The sequence below is a fragment of the Homo sapiens genome, chromosome 19 (genome assembly GCF_000001405.40).
Source record: "Homo sapiens chromosome 19, GRCh38.p14 Primary Assembly".
Taxonomy (NCBI): domain Eukaryota; kingdom Metazoa; phylum Chordata; class Mammalia; order Primates; family Hominidae; genus Homo; species Homo sapiens.
This window is the reverse complement of record NC_000019.10, coordinates 35,419,840-35,445,355: the sequence shown is the minus strand read 5'-3', so window position 1 is coordinate 35,445,355 and position 25,516 is coordinate 35,419,840. Positions and strand designations below refer to the sequence as shown.

Below are 25,516 nucleotides of genomic sequence, written 5' to 3'. Positions count from 1 at the left end.
TTCGCCCGCCTTGGCCTCCCAAAGTGCTGGGATTATAGGCGTGAGCCACTGAGCCTGACTAGAGTCAGTCTTAAAGTGAATCTCAATATTATCTTCTTCCTTATCCCTAGAATGCAGTCTGATGTACTCCCCAAATACTTATGGATTCCAAATATGAATCCATCCATCCGTCTCCATCTCCATCATCCCATCTCAGTGCCATCATCCCTACCAGGATTTCAGCAGGGCCCTGACTCACTTCCTCTCATCCATCTGCTTCCCTGGCAGTCAGTTCTCCATACTGTATTAGTGGAATCATTTTAAAAATGTCAATCCAATTATACGACCTTCTTGTCCTTTCAGAGACTTCTCACTGCTTTTAGGAGAAATATCAACATCCTTAAAAAGGCCTGCCTAGCATGGCCCTTGCCAGCTTCCACTCACATCACTCTTCTCTCTCTTTGCTGTCTGGGCAGGGCCATTTTCCACTTCTGTGAATGTGTCATGTTTTCCATCTGCCATGGGGAGCTTGAACCAGCCCCTGCCTGGTATGTCTTTATTTCTTGTTACCCATTCCAACTTTCACAGTTAATTTGTAGCTTTCTTTCAGATAACCATTTACTTCCTTAAGAAATCCCTGTCTGGCTGGGCACAGTGGTTCACACCTGTAATCCCAGCACTTTGGGAGGCCGAGGCAGGTGGATTACCTGAGGTAAGGAGTTCGAGACCAGCCTGGCCAACATGGCGAAATCCCGTCTCTACTAAATATACAAAAATTAGCCGGGATAGTGGCGCACGCCTGTAATCCCAGCTAGTCAGGAGGCTGAAGCAGGAGAATCACTTGAACCCAGGAGGCGGAGGTTGCAGTGAGCCAAGATTGCGCCACTGCATTCCAGCCTGGGCGACAGAGCAAGACTCTGTCTCAAAAAAAAAAAAAAAAAAAAAAAAGGCCCTGACCTCCTAGATTTCGATTCCCCTCTTACAGGTTAAGCATCTTTTCTATTGCTGAATAGTATTCTGTTTTAAGGATATTTCCTATTTTATTTATCCATTCATCTGTTGATGGATATTTGGTTGGTTTGGGTTTTTTTTAAAAAGTTTTTGTCTAGTATGAATACAGCTGTTAAGAACATTCTTGTGTGGAAATGTTTTCAGTGCTGTTGGGCAAATACCTGGCAGTGTATTGGCCAGGTGGTATGGTAAAACGTTTTATTAACTTTTTAAGAAACTACCAGTTTTCCAAAGTAGCTGTGCCATGTTGCATTCCCACCAGCAGCCTACGAGCATTTCAGTTGCTCCACATCCTCACCAACACTTGACAATTGTTAGTTTTTAATTGTGGGCATTCTAATAAGTATGCCATGGTATTTTTGTGTGTGTGTGTGAGACAGAGTCTCGATCTGTCGCCCAGGCTGGAGTGCAGTGGCGCCATCTCCACTCACTGCAAACTTCACCTCCTGGGTTCAAGCCATTCTCGTGCCTCAGCCCCCTGAGTAGCTGGGATTACAGGCACGTGCCACCACACCTGGCTAATTTTTGTATTTTTAATACAGATGGGGTTTTGCCATGTTGGCCAGACTGGTCTTGAACTCCTGACCTCAGGTGATCTGCCCGCCTCAGCTGCCCAAAGTGCTGGGATTACAGGCGTGGACCACCGTACCCGGCCTTTGTTGTGGTCTTAATTTATACTTTCTTGATGATTATTGGTGTTAAGCATTTTTTCAAGTACTTATGAGCCATTTGTATATCTTCTTTCGTGGAATGTCTGTTTAAATATTTTGCTCATTTAAAAAATTTTAGGCTGGGCATGGTGGCTCACACCTGTAATCCTAGCATTTTTGGAGGCTGAAGTGGGTGGATTGCTTGAGGTCAGGAGTTTCAGACCAGCCTGGCCAACATAGTGAAACCTCATCTCTACTAAAAATACAAAATTTAGCTGGGCGTGGTGGCGGGCGCCTGTAATCCCAGCTACTAGGGAGGCTGAGGCAGGAGGATCGCTTGAACCCAGGAGGCAGAGGTTGCAGTGAGCCAAGATCATACTACTGCACTCCAGCCTGGGCAACAGAGTGAAACTCTGTCTCAAAAAAAAAAAAAAAAAAAAGAAAAATTGGATTATTTTCATATAGTTGAGTTCTGAGAGTTCTTTATTATATTCTTGGTACTAGTCATTTGTCAGATGTATATATTACCAATATTTTCTGCCATTCTGTGACTTTTCTCTTCTTTTAATTTTTTTTTTTTTTGAGACAGAGTTTCACTTTGTTGCCCAGGCTGGAGTGCAGTGGCTCCATCACAGCTCATTGCAGCCTTGACCTCCCAGGCTCAGGTGACCTTTCCGCCTCAGCCCTCCAAGTAGCTGGGACTGCAGGCACCTGCCACCATGCCTGACTAATTTTTCTATTTTTTGTACTGATGAGGTTTTGCCATTTTGTCCAAGCTGGCATCGACCTCCTGAGCTCAAGCAGTCTGCCCACCTCGGCCTCCCAAAGTGCTGGGATTACAGGCATGAGCCACTGTGCCTGGTCTTCATTTTCTTAATTGTCTCTTGAAAAGCAAAAAAGTGTTACATTTTGACAAGGTCTAATTTATCTGGTTTTTCTTCTATGGTTTGTGCTTTTATGTCCTAAGAAGCTTTTACCTCCTTATCCAATTATTCCAGATTTTCCTTTCCCTGTTGAATTGCCGCGGCACCTGTACTAAAAACCCATTGGTTGTATGTGTGTGTGGTACTATTTCTGGACGCTCTATTCTTCTGAGAGACTCTGTGTCTTGCCTTTCATCATTTGCACACGGTATTTTTAAAATTTATTTATTTTTATTATTTTTTAAAATTTTTATTTTTAGATGGAGTCTTGCTCTGTCTCCCAGGCTACAGTGTTGTGGCGTGATCTCAGCTCACTGAACCCTCCTCCTCCTGGGTTCCAGCAATTCTTCTGTCTCAGCCTCCTGAGTAGCTGGGATTACAGATGCTTGCCACCACCCCCGGCTAATTTTTGTATTTGTATTAGAGACAGGGTTTCGCCATGTTGGCCAGGCAAGTCTTCAACTCCTGACCTCAAGTGATCCACGTGCCCCGGCCTCCCGAAGTGCTGGGATTACAGGCACGAACCACTGTGCCCGGCCTGCACACAGTCTTGATTACTGTGGTTTCATAATAAGTCTTGAAATAGAGTAAGTCCTCCAACTTCCTTCTTCTTTTCTAAATTTGCTGTGGCTATTCTGGGTCATTTGCATGTTCATATAAATATTAAAATCAATTTCTACAGAAAAGCCTGCTGGAATTTTGAATGGGCTCACACTGAATCCATAGATCAATTTGGGATCATTGACACTGGACATCTCTCTCCATTTATTTAGGTCTTTAATTCCTCTCAGCAATGCTTTCTAGTTGTCAGCATAGAGGTTTTGCATGATTCTAAATATTTTGGAGGCAGCTGTAAATTTAATTTTTTTAGAGTTTATTTTCTCATTGTTGGTTGCTCTCATAGCATCTTTTACTATTCCTTCCTATGTCCCACGTCTCAATTTATTATAATGTGTTCATTAGCATGAGGATTTGCATTAAGATGGATGTGAAGTCTACCTCCCCTTATGAGACTGTCCACAAAGCAGGGAACACAGCTGCTTTGCTCACCATTGCATCCTCAGGACCTGGCGTGCAGCCTGGAACATGTTAGGCCCTTAGTAACTATTTCCTGGATGACAGTGGAGGATAGATGGATGAGAGTGACTTCAGAATGGAGATAAGTCCATTTCAAAAACTCAGAGGACGCTTGTCCTCAGATGCCTCATTTATCTTTTTCTGGGACCTGTTAAGACATCCTGGACGTGTAATCACTTGAGAGCTGTCTTGTGGTTTAAGGGACTTGCAGCAAAAGCCACAGGACCTTTTTCCTCATGGTCAGCACTGATGATCCAGGCTATATACCTTTTTTTTTTTTTTTGAGACGGAGTCTTGCTCTGTCATCCAGGCTGGAGCATAGTGGCGTGATCTTGGCTCATTGCAACCTCTGCCTCCTGGGTTTAATTGATTTTCCCGTCTCAGCCTCTTGAGTAGCTGGGATTACAGGTGTCTGTCACCATGCCCTGCTAATTTTTGTATTTTTAGTAGAGACGGGGTTTCACCATGTTGGCCAGGCTGGTCTTGAACTCCTGACCTCAGGTGAACCGCCTGCCTCGGCCTCCCAAAATGCTGGGATTACAGGCGTCAGCCTCTGCGCCTGGACCCATCTGTATTTTTCAACCATGATATTTCTAATGCTTGGCACAGATCCTGGCACATCCTGGGGGGTGGATATATATTTGTTAAATGAATGAATGAATGAAACAATTGCCAGCCTCCCAAATGCTGGGATTACAGGTGTGAGCCACTGCACCCGGCCTTAAGACTCCATTTTTGAGCAGTGGGAAGTCACTTAGGGCCATAAGAGGGGAATGATGTGATGTGATATATGATTCTAGAAGATCAAGCCTGCTACTGTGTGAAGAATGCTCCCTAGAAGGACAGAACTGGAAGCAGAGGGATCCGCTAGGAGGGTGTTGCAGTCGCCAGGGGTTGAGGGGATTGAGGATGGCATGGATAAGGGAGAATGTGCACCCGGGGCAGAGAGGATCACTTAGGATTTGAGATATGTAACTTTGTTTTATTATTATTATTTCTAAATGTTTTTATTATTTTTATTTTTGGTAGAGATGGGGTCTTGTTATGTTGCCCAGGCTGGTCTCAAACTCCTGGCCTCAAGCCATACTCTCACCTTGGCTTCCCAAAGTGCTGGGATTACAGGTGTGAACCACCACGTCTGGGCTGATTATTATTATTTTTAGAGGTGGGGGTCTCGCTCTGTCACTTCAGGCTGGAGTGCAGTGGTGTGATCATAGCTCACTCCAGCCTCGACCTCCTGGGCTCCAGCGGTCCTCCCACCTCGGCCTCCCAAGTAGCTGAGACTACGGGCTTGGCCACCACACTTGGCTAATTTGCTATTTTTTGTAGAGACAGGGTCTTGCTGTGTTTCTCAGGCTGGTCTCAAACACCTGGCCTCAAGCGATTCTCCTGCTTTGGCCTCCCTAAGTGCTGGGATTACAGGTGTGGGCCATTGCACCCAGTGTGCAATTTTAAATAAATGACAATTAATAAGGAAGTACAGGATGCCAGAGAGAAATGGAACTCTCCTAGGGATGAAGAGGGAAGGAGAATCTAGACCAGCACGTGCTGATGGACTTTGAGACGTAATGGCCCCTGTGCCAGTGCAGTTCCCCTGAGTTCATTTGCGTATCACCTTTTTTGAGCCCTGCAGAGGCCTCACCAGAGGAGCTCACCCACTGTGAAGGTAACAGTTTATGCCCACCCCCCTCCGTGCATCTTCTCTTTTAGTTGTCTATTATGCAGCCTCCCCTGTCACTCCAGTCGTGGGGTCCTTCACTTCCACAGTCCCTGCAGAACCCATCCCCGGGCTGGTACATTGCTGAAGAAGAAAATTAAAAGGAGCGTCTCAAGGCTAGCTTCTTGGGAGAACTCTGCAGACTCTGTCTCTGTGGCCTTGGTGGTGGGCCTCTGTGGTTGTTCCCACCCACTGCCGGTAGCCATACCCCAACCTCTCTCTGCAGAGACCTCTCCTTCCTCCACTCTCCGTCCACCTGAGTCCTGTTTATTAGACTTCACTCCTGGCCAATCACACCAGCTGTGGTGGCCAAATGATGGTCCCCCCAAAAGAGACCCATATCCTAATCCCTGGAACCACGGCCAAAAGGGACTTTGCATTGGGATTAAGAAGCTTGAGATGGGGAGGTCATCTTGGACTATCTGAGATGGCCCTAAACATAATCACAAAAAGGAGGAGGCAGAACTGGGCGCATTGGCTCACACCTGTGTTCCCAGCACTTTGGGAGGCCGAGGCAGGCAGATCACTTGAGGCCAGGAGTTCGAGACCAGCCTGGCCAATATGGCAAAACCCCGTCTCATCTCTATTAAAAATCCAAAAACTTAGCCAGGCATGGTGGTGTGCATCTGTAATCCTGTAATCCCAGCTACTCCAGAGGCTGAGGCAGGAGAATCACTTGAATACGGGAAGTGGAGGCTGCAGTGAGCAGAGATCGTGCCACTGCACTCTAGCCTGGCAACAGAGTGAGACTCCGTCTCAAAAAAAAAAAAAGAATCTTTAGATGGGGAGATAATCTTGGACTATCTGAGATGGTCCTAAATGTAATCACAAAAAGAAAGAGGTAGAGGGAGAAATCAGACAGAAGGGGAGAAGATGCTGTGATCCTGGAGGACCGGAGTGATGTAGCTGCAAGCTAGCGCCCACCAGAAGCTGGAAGAGGCAAAGAATGGATTTTCTCAAGAGCCTCCGGAGAAATGGAATCCTGCTGAACACCTGTGTTCCATCCCAGCCGGATCTGGCTGGAGTCACCCCGAAAAGCTGTGGCAAGGGAGTTTCTGTCGAGGAGTTCCCCAAACCATCCCAAGAGGGGGCCAGATGGGTTCCCAAAGCAAGAAGCACCAAATGCCAGGGTGATTAGTGCAAAGCATTTCGGAGGGGAATTTGCAGAGTGGGCTGCAGCATCCTCAAGACGAACAATGAGAGAAAAGGGAGGGGGCAAGGGAGGGGTTTGCATGAGGGTTTAAGGAATTTGGCCCAGGGCCAGGGCTGGTTTCTTTCAGTGTCTAAACACCTTTATCAGTGCCTGGGAATGTTCAAGCCCTGGCTTGGGTTCAAGTCTGCAGAGAAAACACGCAGCTGGCTGGGTCGCAGGTTGGTCAAGGCACTCTGTTTCTTGGTCAGGACAGAGGAAAAAGGAGGGAAAATTAGGAGACCCTGCACCTTGATTTCAGCCCCGTGACACTGGTTTTGGACTTCTAGTCTTCAGTACTGTGAGAGAATAAATTTCTGTTATGTTAAGCCACCAAGTTTTTGGCAATTCATTACAACAGACAGAGGACATAGCAGACATGGCAGCCAACATTTATTGTATTGTATGACACTGTGTATCAAGTGCCATGCAAAAAGCTTTGCAAAGATGAACTCATGTAAATCTTAAAACATCCTAGGAAGTTACACACTCATCCCCTTTAACGGACGAGGAAGCTGAAGTATGTAGAGAAAGAAGTGATTTGCCTGGAGTCATGCATCTGGTGGACGGAGGAACTGAACTCTGAACTAAAAAGTCCATGGGCTTTTTTTATTTTTTATTTTTTTAGACAGGGTCTCGCTCTGTTGCCCAGGCTGGAGTGCAGGGGCACAATCATGGCTTACTGAAATCTCTGCCTCCCACGCTCAAGTGATTCTCCTGCCTCAGCCTCTGGAGTAGCTGGAATTACAGGTGCACGCCAGCATGCCTGGCTAATTTTTTTTTTTTTTTTTTAGACAGGGTCTCACTCTGTCACCCAGGCTGGAGTACAGTGGCACTATCTTGGCTCACTGAAACCTGCGACTTCAGAAATCCTCCCACTTCAGCCTCCCGAGTAGCTGGGATTACAAGATTACAGTGCGCCACCATGCCCGGCTAATGCTTGTATTTTTTGTAGAGACGGGGTTTCACCATGTGCCCAGGCTGGTCTTGAACTTTTGGACTCAAGCGATCTGCACACCTTGGCCTTCCAGAGTGTGGGGATTACAGGCGTGAGCCCCCGCGCCCGGCTGGAGTCCATGGTCTTTACCACCGCACTACACTCGCCACTGTACTGTGAGGGCCCCGGTTAGACCCAACTTCTTTGGTGGCCCCTGGAAGTCCTGTGCATCCCACAGAGGAGGACATGGGGGACAGGTCAGGGTGTGAGATGGTGTCAACTGCTTCCTGCAGGGTGTGTCTGTGTGGTTACCAGGCTTCTTGCCAGTGGTCTTCACTCTTTCCCTGAAACCATGAAGGAGTAACCTTCAACCCCAGACTCCCAAGACCCAGGCAACTCCCAGCCTTCCACATGTCCTCGTTCCTGCCATAGCCCCAGATCCCAGATGCTGCAATCTGTCGTCAGTCCCCACTCCCTGTCTCTAAACATTCTGGATACACAGGAAGTAGAGGGAAGATTCTATTTACTGTTTCTGTCTACCGTTTACCAAGTTGTTTGCTTTCATGGTTTCCATGAATGCTTATAAGACTCTGGATTTGATTGTGAAACAGAATGAAGAGCTTGGGAGGAGGAATGTTTATTCCAGGAATCCTGGAGAGGTTGCCTGACCTTTTCCTCCTTCCCCGAGCCCCCTTCTCCATCTGCTGTCCGTGCAGAGGTGACCACTGGACTAGACACAGGACTAAAAAGCCCTCCCCCTGCCGCTTCCGGGCCAGACCCCTGGGTAGCTAGCGCGGGTTCACACCACCCTTGATAAGGGCCAGAAGGCAGCTGGTCGTTTCCTTGGGCTGATTTTCAGTGCTGACCCTGAGCCAGGGAGGAGAGGCAGCAGAGTGTCTGGAGGCGGAAACTTGCAGTCAGGTGCTGGCTGATCCTGCAAAAGACACACCAGATGGGGGGCAAAACTAGTTGCTCTGTGTTCCTTTCCCCAGCCCAACCTTGTCTCTGTTTTCCTCCATTACCTGCTTCTGCCACATACATGACTCATCTTCCCCTAAGAGTTGTGGTATCGCTGGAGTCACCAGGGTTTCTGTCTGCTTTGCAGAATCTTAGGAAACTTAAATTAGACGGCAGATTTTCAGGAAGTGCAGGGAGGATATCAGAAACTCCCGGGTGTCACACCCGGGGAGTTGGCAGCACGTTTCAAAATGCTTGGAAATTTTCCAAGAGAGAGAGAAAAGCCCTGGTTTTCTTAATGCAAACCAGAAAGTAAAGTTTCTGTTTATCAGAAGTGGGAAGTGGTTAAAAATAGATTGAGAAACAGTGATGCAGTGGACATAACACTCTAAGACCCGCTCTTGGTAAAGTTTACGTGAACTGAGATCCTCTTCACGTTGAGCCATCTTCCCTGAGCCTTTTCCAATGCCAGAAGAATTCAGATTCCATAGGAAGCAGGGAAGACTGCTCTCAGGAGAAGGTGGGAGGGGAGAATGTAGTCTTAATTTTGGGAATGTCTTGGGGATTCCTTCCCCCACTTTTTTTTTTCCTTGAGCCCTTGCTACTTGATGATATGAAGCCACAGTGAATTAGCACCCAGAAGCCTTCCCTTCTGTCTCTAGAAGTCTTTGCCATTTATGAAGATAAAACCCTTATATCTCATTTGAGGACTGTCAAATATGCCCAAATAACAGAGACTTAAACACATAGAGGTTTATTTTTCTCATGGGACATGAAGGAATTAGGGAACCCATGTCCACGGCTGCTGCTCAGGATCACTCATCCATCCACAGCCTGGGGTCCTCTGGCTATCTGTTTCACTATCCCCAGATCTTGGCTTTCGCTTCATGGTCCTAAGAAGCATCTACATTCTGAGCAGAAAAACAGGGGGCAGGGAGGACAGAGAGCAAAAGACGTATGAGAGATGGATCTATCCCTTTTTCAAGCAGGAAAATGACAACTTTTCTAGATGCAGTGGCTCACGCCTGTAATTCCAGCACTTTGAGAGGCCGAGGCAAGAGGATCGCTTGAGGCCAAGGGTTCGAGACCTGCCTGGGCAACAGAGTGAGACCCCCTATCTCTACAAAAAATAAAAAAAAAATCTAGTTGGGTGTGGTGGTGCACTCTTATAGTTCCAGCTACTTGGGAGGCTGAGGTGGGAGGATCGCTTGAGCCTGGGAATGGGAGGCTGCAGTGAGCTGTGATGGCACCACTGTACTCCAGCCTGGGCCACACAGCGAGACCTTGTCTCTAAAGAAGGAAAAAGGAAAATGATAGCTTTTCTGGAAGCCCTACCCAGCAGATGTGTACTTATTTCCAACTGGCTGACATTGTATCTCATGGCAATTCCTAGCCGCAAGAGAGTTTGGGCAAATGAGTATTAATTGGGCACTTCCCGAACCTAACAAAATTGGGACCCTGTTGGCAAGGAAAAAGGGGAGAGTTCCAAAATTATACAGATCTTGAATAGCAAATATGGGGAGCAAAACCAATTATAAGCCTAAAATATCTATGGTAGCCATAGGAAGATGTGGGATTTTAGAGGGGGCTTTTATCAATTGTGTTATTAACAGGTAACATACATACAAAAAGGTGAGCTCAACTTAGGGATACAGCTGGATGCATGTTAACATATCTGTACATTTGTGTATGACCACCCAGGTTGAGATGCAGGCCATTTTCAGCACCCTAGAGGCCCTTTTATTCCCTCTCAGTCAGCAAACCTTCCACTCCTAAGATAACCACTTTTCCAGCTTCTACCTCTTTTTTTTATCTATTTATTTTATTTATTTATTTATTTATTTATTTTTGTGAGACAGGGTCTCTGTAGAGTGAGTGCTCATATGAGCACTCCCAGGCTGGAGTGCAGTGGTGCGATCTTGGCTCACTACAACCTCTGCCTCCCGGTTTCAAGCAATTCTTCTGCTTCTGCCTCCCGAGTAGCTGGGGTTACAGGCGCATGCCAACACACCCAGCTAATTTTTATATTTTTAGTAGAGATGGGGTTTCGCCATGTTGGACAGGCTGATCTCAAACTCCTGACCTCAAGTGATCTGCCCACCTCCGCCTCCCAAAGTGCTGGGATTACAGGCATGAGCCACCATGCTCGGCCTTGTTTCTATTTTCTTTGACACAAGCACTGTTTATCTTCCAGTGTAAGAACGCAATCAACCATAGCACTGTGGGATAGCAGCCAGGAGGCTGGCTGTATCCTGCTGCAGCAGCCACCACACATGGAGGGCGGAGGGACAGCCACCCTGTTGTGTAGCTCGGAGCAGCTGTGTCCTTCAGTGCAGGTCCAGCCAAGAGCCGTGGGCCACAGATGACGCTGGTGGGGAAGCAGAGGGCAGACTAGGCAGAGGCAAGGCTTTCCTGTGCCCTGAGCTGTCAGAGATGGGCCAGGGCCTTCAGCTTCCTCGATAGGGCAGAAGTGACCACGCTGGCTCCATTCAGCAAAGGACGTGGACGGAGCTGCCGGGCTTGTCTGAGAGGAGGAGAAATGTGGAATTGAGTGAGGCTCTCTAAGAAGGTTCTGCTGGAGTTGAGAAAAATTAGGGTGAGGCACCTCCCCGATTTTATGTCCTTTTTCCTGGGTCCAGCCTCCTGAACAGCTACCATTCGCTTCTGTGAGACACCTGTCGGTGCCTCCTTTTCCAGCCCTTAATGGAACGGTGAGTGAGGTTCCCTGACTGGGGTGGAGTCTGCTTGTGAGTTTCCCCATCCCATGTCTCTCTGACTCCTGCTCCAACTCCTTACTTCGCCAGTTCCTCTCCCAGCCACCTCAGACTTCCCATACCACCCTCCCTGGACAGGAAGCGTTTTTACAGGAGTTTGAAGCTTCAGGAGTGCCCTCCGGCCACATGAAGACAAGGCGCTAACAAACATGGCGTTCTGCAAATTGCACCATCGCCAACTCCTGTCTTACTCTCACAGAGGTCTCTTGGGCTCTTCTGAGAAGGGTGAATGAACTTGGTTGGAGGGAAGAGAGGGGTTTGGTGGCTCTTAGTAAAATTGCTTCACGCAGTGACCTTTGGCAGTTTAGGATAATAACCTGTGCAGAGAGAGGGTCTCCTGTCCTGAAGTCACAGCCCGGATCTCCAGGCTGGCTCTGCTGCCTCTGAATGATTTGTGGGTCACACACGCCAACAGCATCGCCAAGGGCTGACATCAGCCTGCTTGAGCCACGGAAACTGAATGGGCAAGGATGAGTTCCCCAGCACAGAGGGAGGCATCCTCTGTCAAGACCATCTGCGCATGTGCTGTGCAGTCTCCAGTCTGCACTGTGAGGTTAGTACTTCTTCCTCTCTCTAGAAAGTGTAATGGGGGCCAGGCATGATGGCCCACACCTGTAATCCTAGCACTTTGCGAGGCTGAGGTGGGCGGATTGCCTGAGCTCAGGAGTTTGAGACCACCCTGGGCAACATGGTGAAACCCTGTCTGTACTAAAATACAAAAAAATTTAGCTGGGTGTGGTGGCGGGCATGTGTAATCCCAGTGACTCAGGAGGCTGAGGCAGGAGAATCGCTTGAACCCGGGAGGCAAAGGTTGCAGTGAGCCGAGATCATGCCACTGTACTCTAGCCTGGGCAAAAGAGCGAGACTGGCTCAAAAGAAAGCATAACAGAATACTCATAACTGACAGTGACGTTGTAACAGCTTACCTTATATCCTCTCATTTCTTTGTTTACTTAAACTTCCAAAGCCTAGTTTTTTCAGTATTACCAGGAACCATGGACTTACATTTCTTGCCTCTTGGTGTGTTGCCACATCCCAGCAGTGTGTCTCAACGGCTTTTGAGAACTGCTTCGAGAGGGGACCAGATGCGCAGAGACAAGCTTCCAGCCTGGCTAGGGACGGACCCTCTGGGGATGCTCCTCTCTGGCCGGGCAGCAGTAGAAGCACCTGCCTCCATCCACATCCAGACGCCATTCCCTTTTCTTCACCGCTGCTTCCCATCAGATGGTCCCCAGGAGTGGCAACCTCCCACTTGGTCTCGCAGGAGTCCCAGTGCTTCTCAGGTGTGTGTGCCACATCCCTCTTCTCTGAACACACAGTGGTCAGGGTGCCTGCACAGGGAAGGGCACCACAGTCCACCCTGGGAAAGGTCTTCAGTCTTCGGGAAAGAGCCTGTAAGCACCTTGACTGCTCTTCTTCTCTAGGGCAGAGAGCTTTCTTATCCACAGGGGTCCTTAGTCAGAGAGAGGGAGCGCACTCGGTGAGCTCTTTCAGAGGCAGCAGAGCCCTCTGCCTCTCCCCAAATCCCTGCTCCTACAAGTCGAATTAATCTCTCCTAGAAATCCAAGTCCTAACTTCTTCCAGGCGTCTTTTTACATCCACTGTTTGCATAGCCCACCCTTTCTTCTTTGGAGGATCCCCTCAGGTAACTTCCATCTGCTCCTCAGTGTGTCTTACCCCTTCCTTCTGTTCTTTCTTCACCTCCCTCCCTCTCCACCTCCACACTGGACTATATCAAATTCCTGTTCATTTTTTAGCATGGCCCAGTCAAAGCAGGTTAATCTCTCAGTCAGCAGAGGACATTTCACAAAAATTGGGGCCGCTAAATCACAAAAATATTCTCTAAGTCCAGGGCCAGCCCAGAAAAAATGCCCCAAGTCCAGGCAGCCCCCCAGAGTCTGCCGCCGTCTGGAAAATCCGGCTCAGCTCTTGCTCCTGCACATCCTCTCCTTTCCAGTGCTCTGTGTCTGGTCCCTGTCCCACCTCCTCTCCTTTCCCCAGTGTCTTCTGTCTGAATTCTGTGGGCCCAGGACAGCCCCAGCCTTCTCAAAGTCACCTGCATGTCTCTTGGATTAGGCAGCTGAGTGCAAGGTAACAACCAGATCATGCATTTTCATCTCTCCATGGATGGTTGGGGATAGAGCATCACAAGACAGGCATTGTGGCTGGGTGTGTTGGCTCATGCCTATGATCCCAGCACTTGGTGGGAGACCAAGGCAGGTGGATTGCTTGAGCTCAGGAGTTCAAGACCAGCCTGGGTAACATGGTGACACCTGATCTCTACAAAAAAATACAAAAATTAGCCAGATGTGGTAGTGCATGCCTTTAGTTCCAGCTACTCAGGAAGCTGAGGTCAGAGGATCACTTGAGCCCAGGAGATCAAAGCTGCAGTGAGCCTAGATTGTGCCACTGCACTCTAGCCTGTGGGACAGAGTGAGACCCTGATTTTTTTTTTTTTTAAAGGCAGACATGGTTCTTGCCTTCATGAAATTGACATTGTAGTTGTGGGGAGGGGTGAGACACTAGTACAGTCTCTACAGTAATATAGGAGGTAATGTGGGGCACGCTTTCGGAAGGAAATAGAATTGGATGATAGAATAGGGTAATCTGTGCTGGGGGCAGCAGGGAAATGTCCTTGAAGGGGTGACATTTGAGCCGAGGCCTGTAGGTGCTCTCCATGGAAGAGCTGGGAGAGGAACACTCGGGGCAGATGGGACATTTTTTGCAAAGGCCCTGAGGCGATACGAAGCTTGGTGTGATGGAGAAACCGAAAGGAGGCCAGTGTGGCTGGGGGGGTGGGGTGGGAATGAGCATGAGGGAAGTGATGGGAAACCAGGTCAGAGACGTGACAGCTGGGGGTGGAGGGGGTGGAGGGAAAACACATGGTGCAGGGCCCTGTTGTCCAAGGTGAGGATTTGGATTTTATTCCCAAAGTCATAGGAAACTCTTGAAGGGTATAAGGCAGAGGAGTAAGTGATCTGATGTATGGGTTTCATTTCTTTTATCATGTTTTATTTTCTTTCTTTATTTTTGTATGATGTGTGGGTTTTAAGGATTCCTCTGGCTTCCTGTTTTGTGCAAGTGTCTTGCCCCACTGTCTGTCAAAACTTTCTTCTTTCCCTGCCATTAGGGAAGCCCTCATGATTCAGCAGCTGCTCATTTCTCTTTCTCTCTCTCTCTCTATCTCTTCTGGCTTCACCGTCCTCCTGCAGTTGAATCCAAAGCTCATACCAATCTCTGCACAACAGCCAATAAATCAAGAGACGAGATATTGGGGGAAGGAAAAATGACATTATTTCAGAGAGCCAGCAGACTGAGGAGATAGCAGACCTAGTGTCTTGAGAACAATCTTAAGTAATAGAATTTTGGGCTCCTTTTACATTAGGGAAGGGGGAAGAGAGTGAGGTTTAAGATCAAGAGGTGACCGATGATAGCGGACATCTGGGTGGCAGTGAGTGTCCGAGGAGGGGCACTGTGCAACTTCTTTGTCCTGCTGAGGTCACAATGTTCCTATAAATCTTTAATATGATGTAGCTGCTAGTGTGTACACCCTCCTTATCTCCTTGGGGGTGAGTGTTGGGAAGGGATTATTGTCATCCTTGCTTTAAAGTTAAACTGTAAACTAAATTCTTCCCATGATTAGCTTGGCTGATGTGCAGGAATGACAAAGACCATTAGCTTGTGAGGTTAGAAGCAGGGTGGAGTCAGCTATGTCAGATTCTGCTGTTACACTCCATGCAGACCCACTTTCTAGATGAGGAGGGGGAGCATAAGTGTACTTTGCGTCTCTTGACTGTCCTCACATCATCTGCTTTTATTATTTTCTGTAAATGTTTATCATGTCCTGGATTTGAGTGAATACCACAAGCTTCCTGGCAAGGAGATGTTGATAAAAATGAGTACGGCTTTCCCCTTGAGTTTTGTCTCGCCTGGCCTCCTGCCCATTCTTGACTAGATGGAAGGGACCACAGGCTCTGAGGATGATCGAGGAATCTCCACTTGGCGAATAAGTCAAGCCACACGCGGTCTCGTGATCCTTAGACCCCTTCAGTGTCCTCCTCTCCACTCTGGTCACCTAGGGGGCATTCCTACCCTGCCCCTCTCCAGGTGTTCAGCCTGGGTAGGCGGGAGAAGGAGGAGGCGTTTCAGGTATGGGAGTACGAACCTGGAGCAAGGCTGCGTTCCTCCTGCTTTCTGCCAGCTGGCCTCACCTTCCCCCTTTTACAGCCTTCCCGTCTGATCTGGCATGAGGAACGTCAGGCTTCCATGACGCACCCCGCCCCTGTCACGTGCACATCTTTCCTAGGGTTAACAGGGGATCGTGCTGAAGACAGACTCTCCAGTGCTGCGGAGTATTCAGAAGCCTTTACATTGGCCAGTGTTTGTTCCCAGCCCTGCTGAGCCACCCCGTCTAGTATCTCTGAAGAGTGGAGGGTGATGCGGGTATTTGGGAAGAGAGAGTGTGGGATGGGATGGGGGTAAGTACATTGACAAAGCATGTTTCATGTTATTTTATATTTGAAGAACAAAACCAAAAACAGTTGTTTGCATGGCATGAAGTGGTGAACGTCAGCTTTTGGTTTATTTTTACGAAAGATTGAGAGGTACCAAGAAGGGAAGATGGCGGGCCAAGTCCAGCTGTCAGTGGGGGCTGTCCCCAACATTTATTTAGGCTGAGCTTCAAGCCTCTCTCCACGTCGCTAGTTCTTTCACAATTCCACCCCAGTCCAGCGCCCTCTTCCATTAGTAGAGCTGTCCATAACCCATGTGGGAACGCATGTAGGAGCTAAACACGCAGGTTTTGAGGTTAGACTACTGGGATTCACATCTCAGTTCCCATCCCATTGCTAGCTCTGGGTTCCCTGGCAAGTGACTTAACCTGTAGCTAAGCCATTAAACTCATGATTTCAGGGGTTAAAAGCGTGGAATCTGGAGCTGGCCCTGTGGGCTGCAGTCCTGGCGGCTACTTGTTGGCTGTGTCACCTTGGGCAAGGGCACTCATTTCTCTGGGCCTCAGTTTCCTCATTTGTAGAACGAGGAGACTAATATACCTACCTTGTAGGTTTGCTGTGAGGATTGAAATGAATATGTATATGTTTGTGTGTATGTGTATTACACATCTTTACACAACCACATGTTGTGTGTATACATATGTTTATAGTTGTCTATAAACATACGTACTGGGCTGGGCTGGGGACAGTGACTTATGCCTGTAATCCCAGCACTTTGGGAAGCCGAGGTGGGCAGATCGCTTGAGCCCAGGAGTTCCAGACCAACCTGGGCAATAGGGCAAAATCTCGCCTTTACAAAATATACAAACGAATTAGCTGGGTGTGGTGGCATGTACCTATATTTCCAGCCACTTTTGAGGCTGAGGTGGGAGGATTGATTGAACCCAGGAGGTTGAGGCTGAAGTGAGCTGTGATTGTGTCACTGCACTCCAGCCTGGACGACAGAGCCAGACTCTGTCTCAAAAAATCCCATATGTACGTATGTATGTATATGCCTGGTACATAGCAAGTACTTAGAATTGCTGGCTGTTACTGTTATTAATATTTATTTTTGTTTAGGGTAAGGCTAAATTATATGTAAGAAAAATAAGTCAATTAAAAAAAAAAAAACCAGTGGCTCTGCCAGGTGTGGTGGCTCTGCCAGGTGTGGTGGCTCACACCTGTAATCCCAGCACTTTGGGAGGCTGAGCTGAGTGCATCACCTGAGGTCAGCAGTTCGAGACTAGCCTGGCCAACACGGCGAAACCCTGTCTCCACAAAAAAACACAAAAAATTAGCTGGGTGTGGTGGCAGGCGCTCCATATCAAAAAAAAAAAAAAAAAAAAAAAAGAAGAAGAGCAAGTTTTCTGTCTCTGCTCTCTCTATTGAGTTGGGATGTCCATCTTCTCCTGCCCTCAGACATCAGTTCTCAGGCCTTCAGATTTGGACTGAATTACACCACCAGCTCTCCTGGTTCCCCAGCTTGCAGACAGATGGGACTTCTCAGCCTCCATAATCACATGAGCCAATTCCCACAATAATCCTCCCTCTCTCTCAGAATAAATGAGGTAACATATGTGAGAACACTTTGCAAAATGGCAGAATACTCCTCTATTGTAAATTGTGTGAGAAACAAACTCTGCCAGGTGCCGTGGCTCACACCTGTAATCCCAGCACTTTGGGAGGCCAAGGCAGGTGGATCACCTGAGGTCAGGAATTTGAGACCAGCCTGACTAACATGGTGAAACCCGTCTCTACTAAAAATACAAAAATTAGCCGGGTGTGGTGGCGGGTGCCTGTAATCCCATCTACTCGGGAGGCTGAGGCAGGAGAATCGCTTGAACCCAGTAGGTGGAAGCTGTAGTGAGCCAAGATCACGCCACTGCACTGCAGCCTCGGTGGTGGTGTGGGAGGGGGTGGTTAAGGAAGCCCTGACTGATAGGTGCCTGGCAGCTAGATAAAAGGGAAAAAAGAAAAAGAAAAAGAAAAAGAAAAAACAAACACACTCACTTGTCCAAACCAAAGAATGGACTTAGGGATGGGAGAACAGCAGAAGCGAGACCTTAGTGGCTGCCTTGCAAGATGGGGTGTCTGGCATGCGGGCACACCTGCAACGATTTCAACAAGCAATTTATTCCCAAGTGCACAAGTCCCTCCCCTAGTTCCTCACTGGCTGAGTACTATTGGGTTACAATCTTTCTGCATGTCACCTATTGATATTTGGGTTAAGGATTTCAGTATGTTCTTTAGGGTCTTTCTGCTGCATTTTATTGCAGCCCATAATGCATTGCAACTGTCTCAGGACTCTTCAAACATTTGAGTTATGGCCATAGTGACTGGACTTAGCTGATAAGAAAGAGTACAATTATTTACTTTGCAAGCTAGCCTAAACTAAATTCTTTTTTTTTTTTTTTTTTTGAGACGGAGTTTCACTCTTGTTGCCCAGGCTGGAATGAAGTGGCGTGATATCAGCTCACTGCAACCTCTGCCCACCCGGTTCAAGCAATTCACCTGCCTCAGCCTCCCGAGTAGCTGGGATTACAGGTGCCCGGCTAATTTTTGGATTTTTAGCACAGATGGGGTTTCACCATGTTGGCCAGGCTGGTCTTGAACTCCTGACCACAGGTGATCTGCCTGCCTTGGCCTCCCAAAGTGCTGGGATTACAGTCATGAGCCACTGTGCCTGGCCCAACTAAATTCTTTGGAGGGGTGGAAGGGGATGGTTAAGGAGGTCCTGACTGATAGGCGCCTGGCAGCTAGATGAAAGGGAAAGCAAGAAGCAGGATGGGCAGGAGGGGGTGGGGGTGGGGGGGTGACTTAGTACATTCTGCTTCTTTATCTCTTTGTAGCCTGTTTAAACCTATATTAAGGCACTTAGAATTGAAAATGGACCACCACACATAGGTTATTTTCTGCAGTTGTAACCAGACAACTGAACTCTTTTTTTTTTTTGAGACCGGGTCTCACTCTGTCATCCAGGCCGGTGTGCAATGGCTCCATCACGGCTCACTACAGCCTTGACCTCCCAGGCTCAAGCAATCCTCCCACCTCAGCCTCCCAAGTAGCTGGGACTACAGGCGCACACCACTATGCCTGGCTTAGTTTTATATTTTTTGCGGAGTTGAGGCTTTGCCATGTTGCCCAGGCTGTTCTTGAACTCCTGGGCTCAAGCAATCTGCCCGGCTTGGCCTCCCAAAGTGCTGGGATTATAGGCATGAGCCATTGTGCCTGGCCTCAACTGAACTCTACACAGGAGCAGTTCTCTTTTTTTTTAAGATGGAGTCTCAGTCTGTCGCCCAGGCTGGAGTACAATGGCGTGATTTCGGCTCACTGCACCCTCTGCCTCTCAGGTTCAAGCAATTCTCCTGCCTCAGCCTCCCGAGTAGCTGGGACTACAGGCATGTGCCACCATGGCTGGCTAAGTTTTGTATTTTTAGGAGAGAGGGGGTTTCACCATGTTGGCCAGGCTGGCCTTGAACTCCTGACCTCAAGCGATGCTCTTGCCTCGGCCTCCCAAAGTGCTAGGATTACAGGTGTGAGCCACCATGTCCAGCCTAGGAGCAGTTCTTAACTTCTTTCCAGTGACCACACAAGGGACAGGTTATGTCCAAATGCTGGATAGACTCCAAAGCAATCTAGCTGCAACTTCTCCCATCCTGCTCCTGCTCAAGAGAGGGAATGTTGACAGCCTCCGAGTCAGAAGTTCCAAGGGGCAGAAGAGATGCCTCTGTGCCTGTGGGCATACCTTAGCTGTTCCCAGCTCCCCAGCTCCAGCCCAGGAGAGCATCATGCAGTCTCTCCATTAGAAGCTCTGCACTCCCGTTCCCTTTCTGTGATCTTTGCCTTCCCTGGTTCTGTCTGTCCCTTGGCAGTGAGCCCCTTGCCTTGCCCCCAACAGTGTGGCCCTCTCTCGATTCCTTCTCCACCAACATCCTTTCCCGGAGTATAGGCAGCTGCCTGGAAACCTTGCTCTACTCTCATTTTTTGTTGGGGAGTGGAGTGGTAACCTCTAAACAGAAATCTTCTTGCTCCTTACTGAAGTTGCAGAGTCGGAGCTGGCTGTACCTCCTCTGGCTCTGCTCTAGGGACAGGCTTTCACACTGAGATGGGCTGTGTCCATTGGAAAGTTGGTAGTTGATTACCTCTATGAAAAAAAAACCTGAAAAATTCCACCTTTTCTCCAGAACTGATTCCACGAATCTAACGTATGGATTCCCAAATGCAGACCTTGGCTGCTTCCACAGTATTCCTTTGACTTCTACATTTAGGTACCTGGAGAGGCATCTCGTGAGGCCATGTAGAGTGGCAGGCAAGGGCATGGACTGGGATGCAGACTGCCTGGATTCCAGCCTTGCTGGGCTCCCTCCAGCTGTGTGTGCTTGGACAAGTCCTGTAGTCTCCTGGGCTGTGGTTTCCTTCCCTCTAAATGGAGGAAATGATAGTGCCCACCTCATGGGCTTTTGTGAAGACTGAATGGGTTGATGTATCTAAAACTTTTGGGCAGCTGAGTGCGGTGGCTCACGTCTGTAATCCCAGCACTTTGGGAGGCCAAGGCGGGCAGATCACCTGAGGTCAGGAGTTGGAGACCAGCTCGGCCAACATGGTGAAACCCTGTCTCTACTAAAAATACAAAAATTGGCGACAGAATGAGACTCCGTCTCAAAAAAAAAAAAAAAAAATAGCTGGGCGTGGTGGGGGCGGCTCCTTTAATTCCAGCTACTTGGGAGGCTGAGGCAGGAGAATCACTCGAACCCGGGAGGCGGAGGCTTCAGTGAGCCAAGATCATGCCACTGCACTCCAGCCTGGGTGACAGAGCGAGACTCCGTCGCAAAAATAAATAAATAAATGTCTTGGGTCAGGATCTGGGACACAGTCAGTACTGTGTGTTTTGTGTTTGTCCTTCCTCATGGTAACCTGGATTCCTTGATCTCCCGGTAGGTCCACTCCTTCATCACACCTGGGACTACTCTCATATTTGTTCCCTCCTATCCTGAGTCCTAGTGGGTTTTCATTTGCACTCCAGGGTTCAGCTGCAGACCCACCAGGTGAAGACCCACCAGGTATGTGTTTGGGCAGTGGGATCACTTGGCTTGGACCCCAGATCTTTTCTTCTGCTTGGAAAAGGTTTACTAGTTCGGCTTCATCCAGGTGTGGTTCCAGGGGAATTGATGGCCTGCTGACCTCCACGTTCTCTTTCCCAGCACACCTTGCCCTGCTTCTGGGCCACGTCTCTCCAGTGCACCTGCAGGAGACCTCTGTGGATGCACCGTGTCTCCTAACACTGTCTCCAGCCCACACTGAGCTTGTCTTGCGTGGAAATCTTTGTCTCTGCTGTTGCCTTTGCCTGGAGCGTCCTTGCCCCACACCCTCTCACAGCTGCCTCTCTGTCATCTTTCCAATGTCTGTCCTCAGAGAGCCCTTCCTGGCCACTCCATCTAAAGGAGTCCTGGGCCAGGTGTGGTGGCCCACACCTGTAATCTCAGAACTTTGGGAGACGGAGGTGGGAAGATCACTTGAGGCCAGGGGTTCAAGACCAACCTGGGCAACATACTGAAACCCCCATGCCTATAACAATAAAAAAGGAAAAAAAGGGGTGGTGGTGCACACTTAGAATCTCAGCTATTCTGGTGGCTAAGGCTTGAGCCTAGGAGTTCGAGGCTGCAGTGAGCCAAGATCGCACCACTGCGCTCCAGCATGGGCAACAGAGTGAGACCCTGTATCAAAAAATAAATAAAAATAGGTCAGGTGCAGTGGCTCACTCATGACTGTAATCCCAGCACTTTGGGAGGCTGAGGCGGGCAGATCACCTGAGGTCAGGAGTTCAAGACCAGCTTGGCCAACATGGTGAAACCCCATCTCTACAAAAATACGCATAGTCGGGCATGGTGGCGGGTGCTTAGAGTCCCAGCTACTTGGGAGACTGAGGCAGGAGAATCACTTGAACCTGGGAGGTGGAGGTTGCAGTGAGCCGAGATCGCACCATTGCACTCTAGCCTGGGCGACAGAGTGAGACTGTGTCTCAAAAATAAATAAATAAATAAATAAATAAATAAATAAATAAATAAATATAAAAAAGGAATTCCCCTCTTCTTATTACACTAATCAATTTGTTTTCTTCACGGTGCTTTACCAGAATCTGAAATTGTTCTATTTATTCATCTTTTGTCAACAATTCCTGGTAAGAGGTGCTACTCAGGTCACAGAATTGGTTTTAGGTTGCTCTAGTAAAAACTTTTTGCTGTCTTTAGCAAAAAGAGCTGTGCACATAGACATACTTTCAGGTTAAACCAATATGTATGTTTTTAATTTGCTACCCCTTGCCACCTCTTGGCCTAGAAACAGGGAGGAGGAAGCCACGCTTTCATTATTATTAACTATCTCGGGCCTTTTATTAGTTTGATCAAGTAATAATCATCTAAAGTGCATCTCCTTTGTGGGGAGCCCAAATTCCAGGCCGGAAAAGGTCCAACCGCTGTTCCTCCAACACCGGTGCTTTTCCAGAACGCGAACTTCACGAGAGCTGCCGCTTCCTGTCTTGTTCACCAAAACATTCTCAGCAGCTTGAACAAGTCCTGGCCGGGAGCAGTTGATGAAGGAGTGAATGACAGGCAAATTGGGATGCGAGCAGGTGTCCATGTCTCTGGACAAGGGAGTGTCTTTTTTTCCCCAAATCCCTGCAACGAGAGCCTAATAGAGTGCTTTAGAGCACAGGAAACCTTTGAAATAGCGCCGAACTGTTGACGGAAATGTAAATTAATACAGTTATTATGGAAAACAGTACGGAGTTTCCTCAGAAAAGTAAAAGTAGCACTGCCATATGATCCAGAAATCCCCCTGCTGGGTGTAAATCCAAAGGAATTGAAATCAGTATGTCAAAGAGATGCCTGCACACCCATGTCCATTGCAGTGTTATTCACAATGGCCAAGATGAGGAAGCAACCTAGATATCCATCATCAGGTCAATCGCTAAAGAAAATGTGGGCCAGGCGCGGTGGCTTACACCTGTAATCCCAGCACTTTGGGAAGCTGAGGCAGGCAGATCACTTGAGGTCAGGAGTTGGAGACCAGCCTGGCCAACATGGTGAAACCCCATCTCTACTAAAAATACAAAAATTAGACGGGTGTGGTGGCGGGCACCTGTAATCCCAGGTACTTGGGAGGCTGAGGTGGTAGAATCACTTGAACTCAGGAGGTGGAGGTTGCAGTGAGCCAAGATCGTGCCACTGCACTCCAGCTTGGGCAACAGAGCAAAAACTCCATCTCAAAAGAGAAAAGAAAAGAAAATGTGGTGTAGATACACAGTGGAATACTAGTCAGCCTTGAAAAAGAAAGAAACCCTGTCATTTGTGGCAGCATAGATGAGCCTGGAGGGCCTTCTGCTCAGCGACATAAGCCAGGCACAGAAAGGCAAGTGCTGCATGATCTCACTTACATGGAGAATCTTAAAAAGCCGATCTAGAAGCAGATCTCATGGCGAGAAGTATGCTGGTTACCAGAGGCTGGGGGAAGGGGCTGGATGGGGAAAGGGAAGACGCTGACTGAAGACTTCAAAGTTTCAGTTAGGAGGAGTCAGCTTTAGTGATCAATTGCACATAATGGTGTTTATAATAAATAATAATGTAATGTATATTTCAAAGCCGTGAAAAGAGATTTTAAATGTTTACACTGCAAGAAAAGGATGAGTATGTGAGGTGATGGATGTGTTTAATTGGCCTGATTTAATCATTCCACGTTGTAAACATGGATCAAAACATCATATTGTATCCCATACATAGATACAATTATTATTTGTCAATTAAAATGGAACTGTGCTGAGCCCACAGTAAGTACTCCACAGTGTTTCCTGCTCCCCTAGGACCCAGGCAGAAGCACCAGCAGCTTCAATTTCCCTCCAGGATCCCGGCATTCAATCCTTTAGTGTTCCTGTCACCACATCCCACTGCTGTAGTGCAGAAAGTGCACAGGGGAGTGGAGACTGGCAGATTCAGTCGTCGTGGGGCCAGGACCATGGTGCGAGGTGCAGGCGAGCACAGGGAAAGCCCTGTTCCTGGGCCAGAGTCCAGCCGGTAGCCGCTGCCCCAGGAGAAGCCAGACTGACGGAGGCACAGACCACGAGCCACTGTGGGAGCTGGAGCAGCCTGGCCATCTCGCATAGTGGCAGTTGCCACAGCAGGTGGAGCAGGGCAGCATTCTTCCCAGGCTACACACATGGCCAAGAGGCTGGCAGAGGGACCAATGGCACAGACAGGATGCAGCTGCAGAGGACTGTCCGCCTGGAGACCTTGGATGCTCTCCTGATTGTATCTGTCAGGTTTCCCACTACAGACAGCAGACTCTCCTCTTGTCAGGTTAAGCGGAAAAGGAATTTTGTTCTTATTTATTTTATTTATTTTTTACTTTTTTTGAGATGGAGTCTTGCTCTATCGCCCAGGCTGGAGAGCAGTGGTGCGAACTTGGCTCACTGCAATCTCTGCCTTCCAGGTTCAAGCATTCTCCCACCTCAGCCTCTCAAGTAGCTGGGATTATAGGCGCCCACCATCACACCCGGCTAATTTTTGTATTTTTAGTAGAGACAGGGTTTCATCATGTTGGCCAGGCTGGTCTCGAACTCCTGACCTCAGGTGATCTGCCTGCCTTGGCCTCCCAAAGTGCTGGGATCACAGGTGTGAGCTTACCATGCCCGGCCTATTTATTTTATTTTAAAATTATTTTTATAGAGATGGGATCTCACTATGTTGCCCAGGCTGATCTCAAACTCCTGGCCTCCAGAGATCCTCTCACTTGGAGCCATCCTCCCATCTCGGCCTCCCCAGACACTGTGATTACAGGCGTGAGCCATCCCACCCAGCCTAGGAATTTTGTTTTTAAAGGGTATTAGGTAGCTTGTGGAATCTCCAGGCCAGCCAGAACACCAGGCTTGGAGGGTATGCCTGGATGATACCCTTGCAGACACCACCACCTCCACCACTGGCGCACACTCTGCGGTTCACACGCTGGGCACTGCTGCCACACCCTCGGCACCTCTCTCTGCCGCCCTGGCAGCTGGCTGTGTGCTGCCAGCTCCCTAGAGTGGCCTCCGGGCCTAACGTCACAGCTATGCTGCACTGCCCCCACCTGGGCTTGGTAACTGGCTGGACTTTGGTCACATGCCTGTGCCCTACATGGGAGCCGACTCTGAGAAAGCAAGTTTCTGCTTCTCCCTTGGGCAGGCGTAGATTCACAGGCAGGGAGTTCAGAGGTTCTGGGTGGCCAAAAAGAATGATGTAAGTCCTTGATGGAAGACGTGTGGTCAGAGCCAGGTGCAGTGGCTCAGGCCTGTCATACCAGCACTTTGGGAGGCCGAGGTTGGCAGATCATTTGAGGTCAGGAATTCGAGACCAGCCTGGCCAACATGGTGAAACCCCGTCTCTACTAAAAATACAAATATTAGCTGGGCATGGTGGTGCACACCTGTAATCCCAGCTACTCAGGAGGCTCAGGCAGGAGAATTGTTTGAACTGCGGAGGCTGCAGTGAGCCAAGATCATGCCATTGCACTCTGGCCTGGGTGACAGACCGAGACTTTGTCTCAAAAAAAAAAAAAAAAAAGGCATTAGAAACTAACTTCATCAGATTGTTTTATGACTGAGGAGTGATAATACGTGTGGAAACTTTCAAAACTGCAGAATGCACTTCTGATTGAAATAGTTGTTAAGCAGGCATCTGATTTATTGGTGCAGAGAGGGCCGTCGCCAGCATACTGGGGTGAAGTGCCATGCCTGGCCCATGGGCTGTGACTGTAACCCTTGCATGTCAGAATGTGCCTTGAATCTT

General features: G+C 48.5%; 1 long non-coding RNA gene across 1 annotated transcript, besides 5 other annotated features; it reads left to right on the top strand.

Moving 5' to 3' along the window:
• Positions 2,865-3,074: an enhancer, noted in NCBI's record as "active region_14478". NCBI's record gives its function as "activates an Ori minimal core promoter by ATAC-STARR-seq in GM12878 lymphoblastoid cells {active_cell/tissue: GM12878}" and the evidence as "EXISTENCE:reporter gene assay evidence [ECO:0000049][PMID:35858748]".
• Positions 6,888-7,849: an enhancer, noted in NCBI's record as "H3K4me1 hESC enhancer chr19:35928409-35929370 (GRCh37/hg19 assembly coordinates)". NCBI's record gives its function as "activates a minimal SCP1, AML or CMV promoter by ChIP-STARR-seq in naive H9 embryonic stem cells {active_cell/tissue: H9 hESC(naive)}" and the evidence as "EXISTENCE:reporter gene assay evidence [ECO:0000049][PMID:30033119]".
• Positions 7,850-8,813: an enhancer, noted in NCBI's record as "H3K4me1 hESC enhancer chr19:35927445-35928408 (GRCh37/hg19 assembly coordinates)". NCBI's record gives its function as "activates a minimal SCP1, AML or CMV promoter by ChIP-STARR-seq in naive H9 embryonic stem cells {active_cell/tissue: H9 hESC(naive)}" and the evidence as "EXISTENCE:reporter gene assay evidence [ECO:0000049][PMID:30033119]".
• Positions 8,435-8,729: a silencer, noted in NCBI's record as "tiled region #12887; K562 Repressive DNase matched - State 8:EnhW". NCBI's record gives its function as "represses a minimal TATA promoter and a strong SV40 promoter by Sharpr-MPRA in K562 cells {active_cell/tissue: K562}" and the evidence as "EXISTENCE:reporter gene assay evidence [ECO:0000049][PMID:27701403]".
• On the top strand, positions 10,703-21,419 carry LOC101927522 (uncharacterized). Its single transcript, NR_187751.1, has 7 exons — positions 10,703-11,036; positions 11,518-11,767; positions 12,254-12,497; positions 15,521-15,692; positions 18,126-18,248; positions 20,643-20,764; positions 20,853-21,419. It is a non-coding gene; the product is annotated as an uncharacterized LOC101927522 (long non-coding RNA).
• Positions 11,263-12,462: an enhancer, noted in NCBI's record as "CDK7 strongly-dependent group 2 enhancer chr19:35923796-35924995 (GRCh37/hg19 assembly coordinates)". NCBI's record gives its function as "activates an origin of replication core promoter dependent on BRD2, BRD4, P300/CBP, MED14 and CDK7 cofactors, with strong dependence on CDK7, by STARR-seq in HCT116 cells {active_cell/tissue: HCT116}" and the evidence as "EXISTENCE:reporter gene assay evidence [ECO:0000049][PMID:35650434]".
• Positions 21,420-25,516: the final 4,097 nt, after the last annotated feature.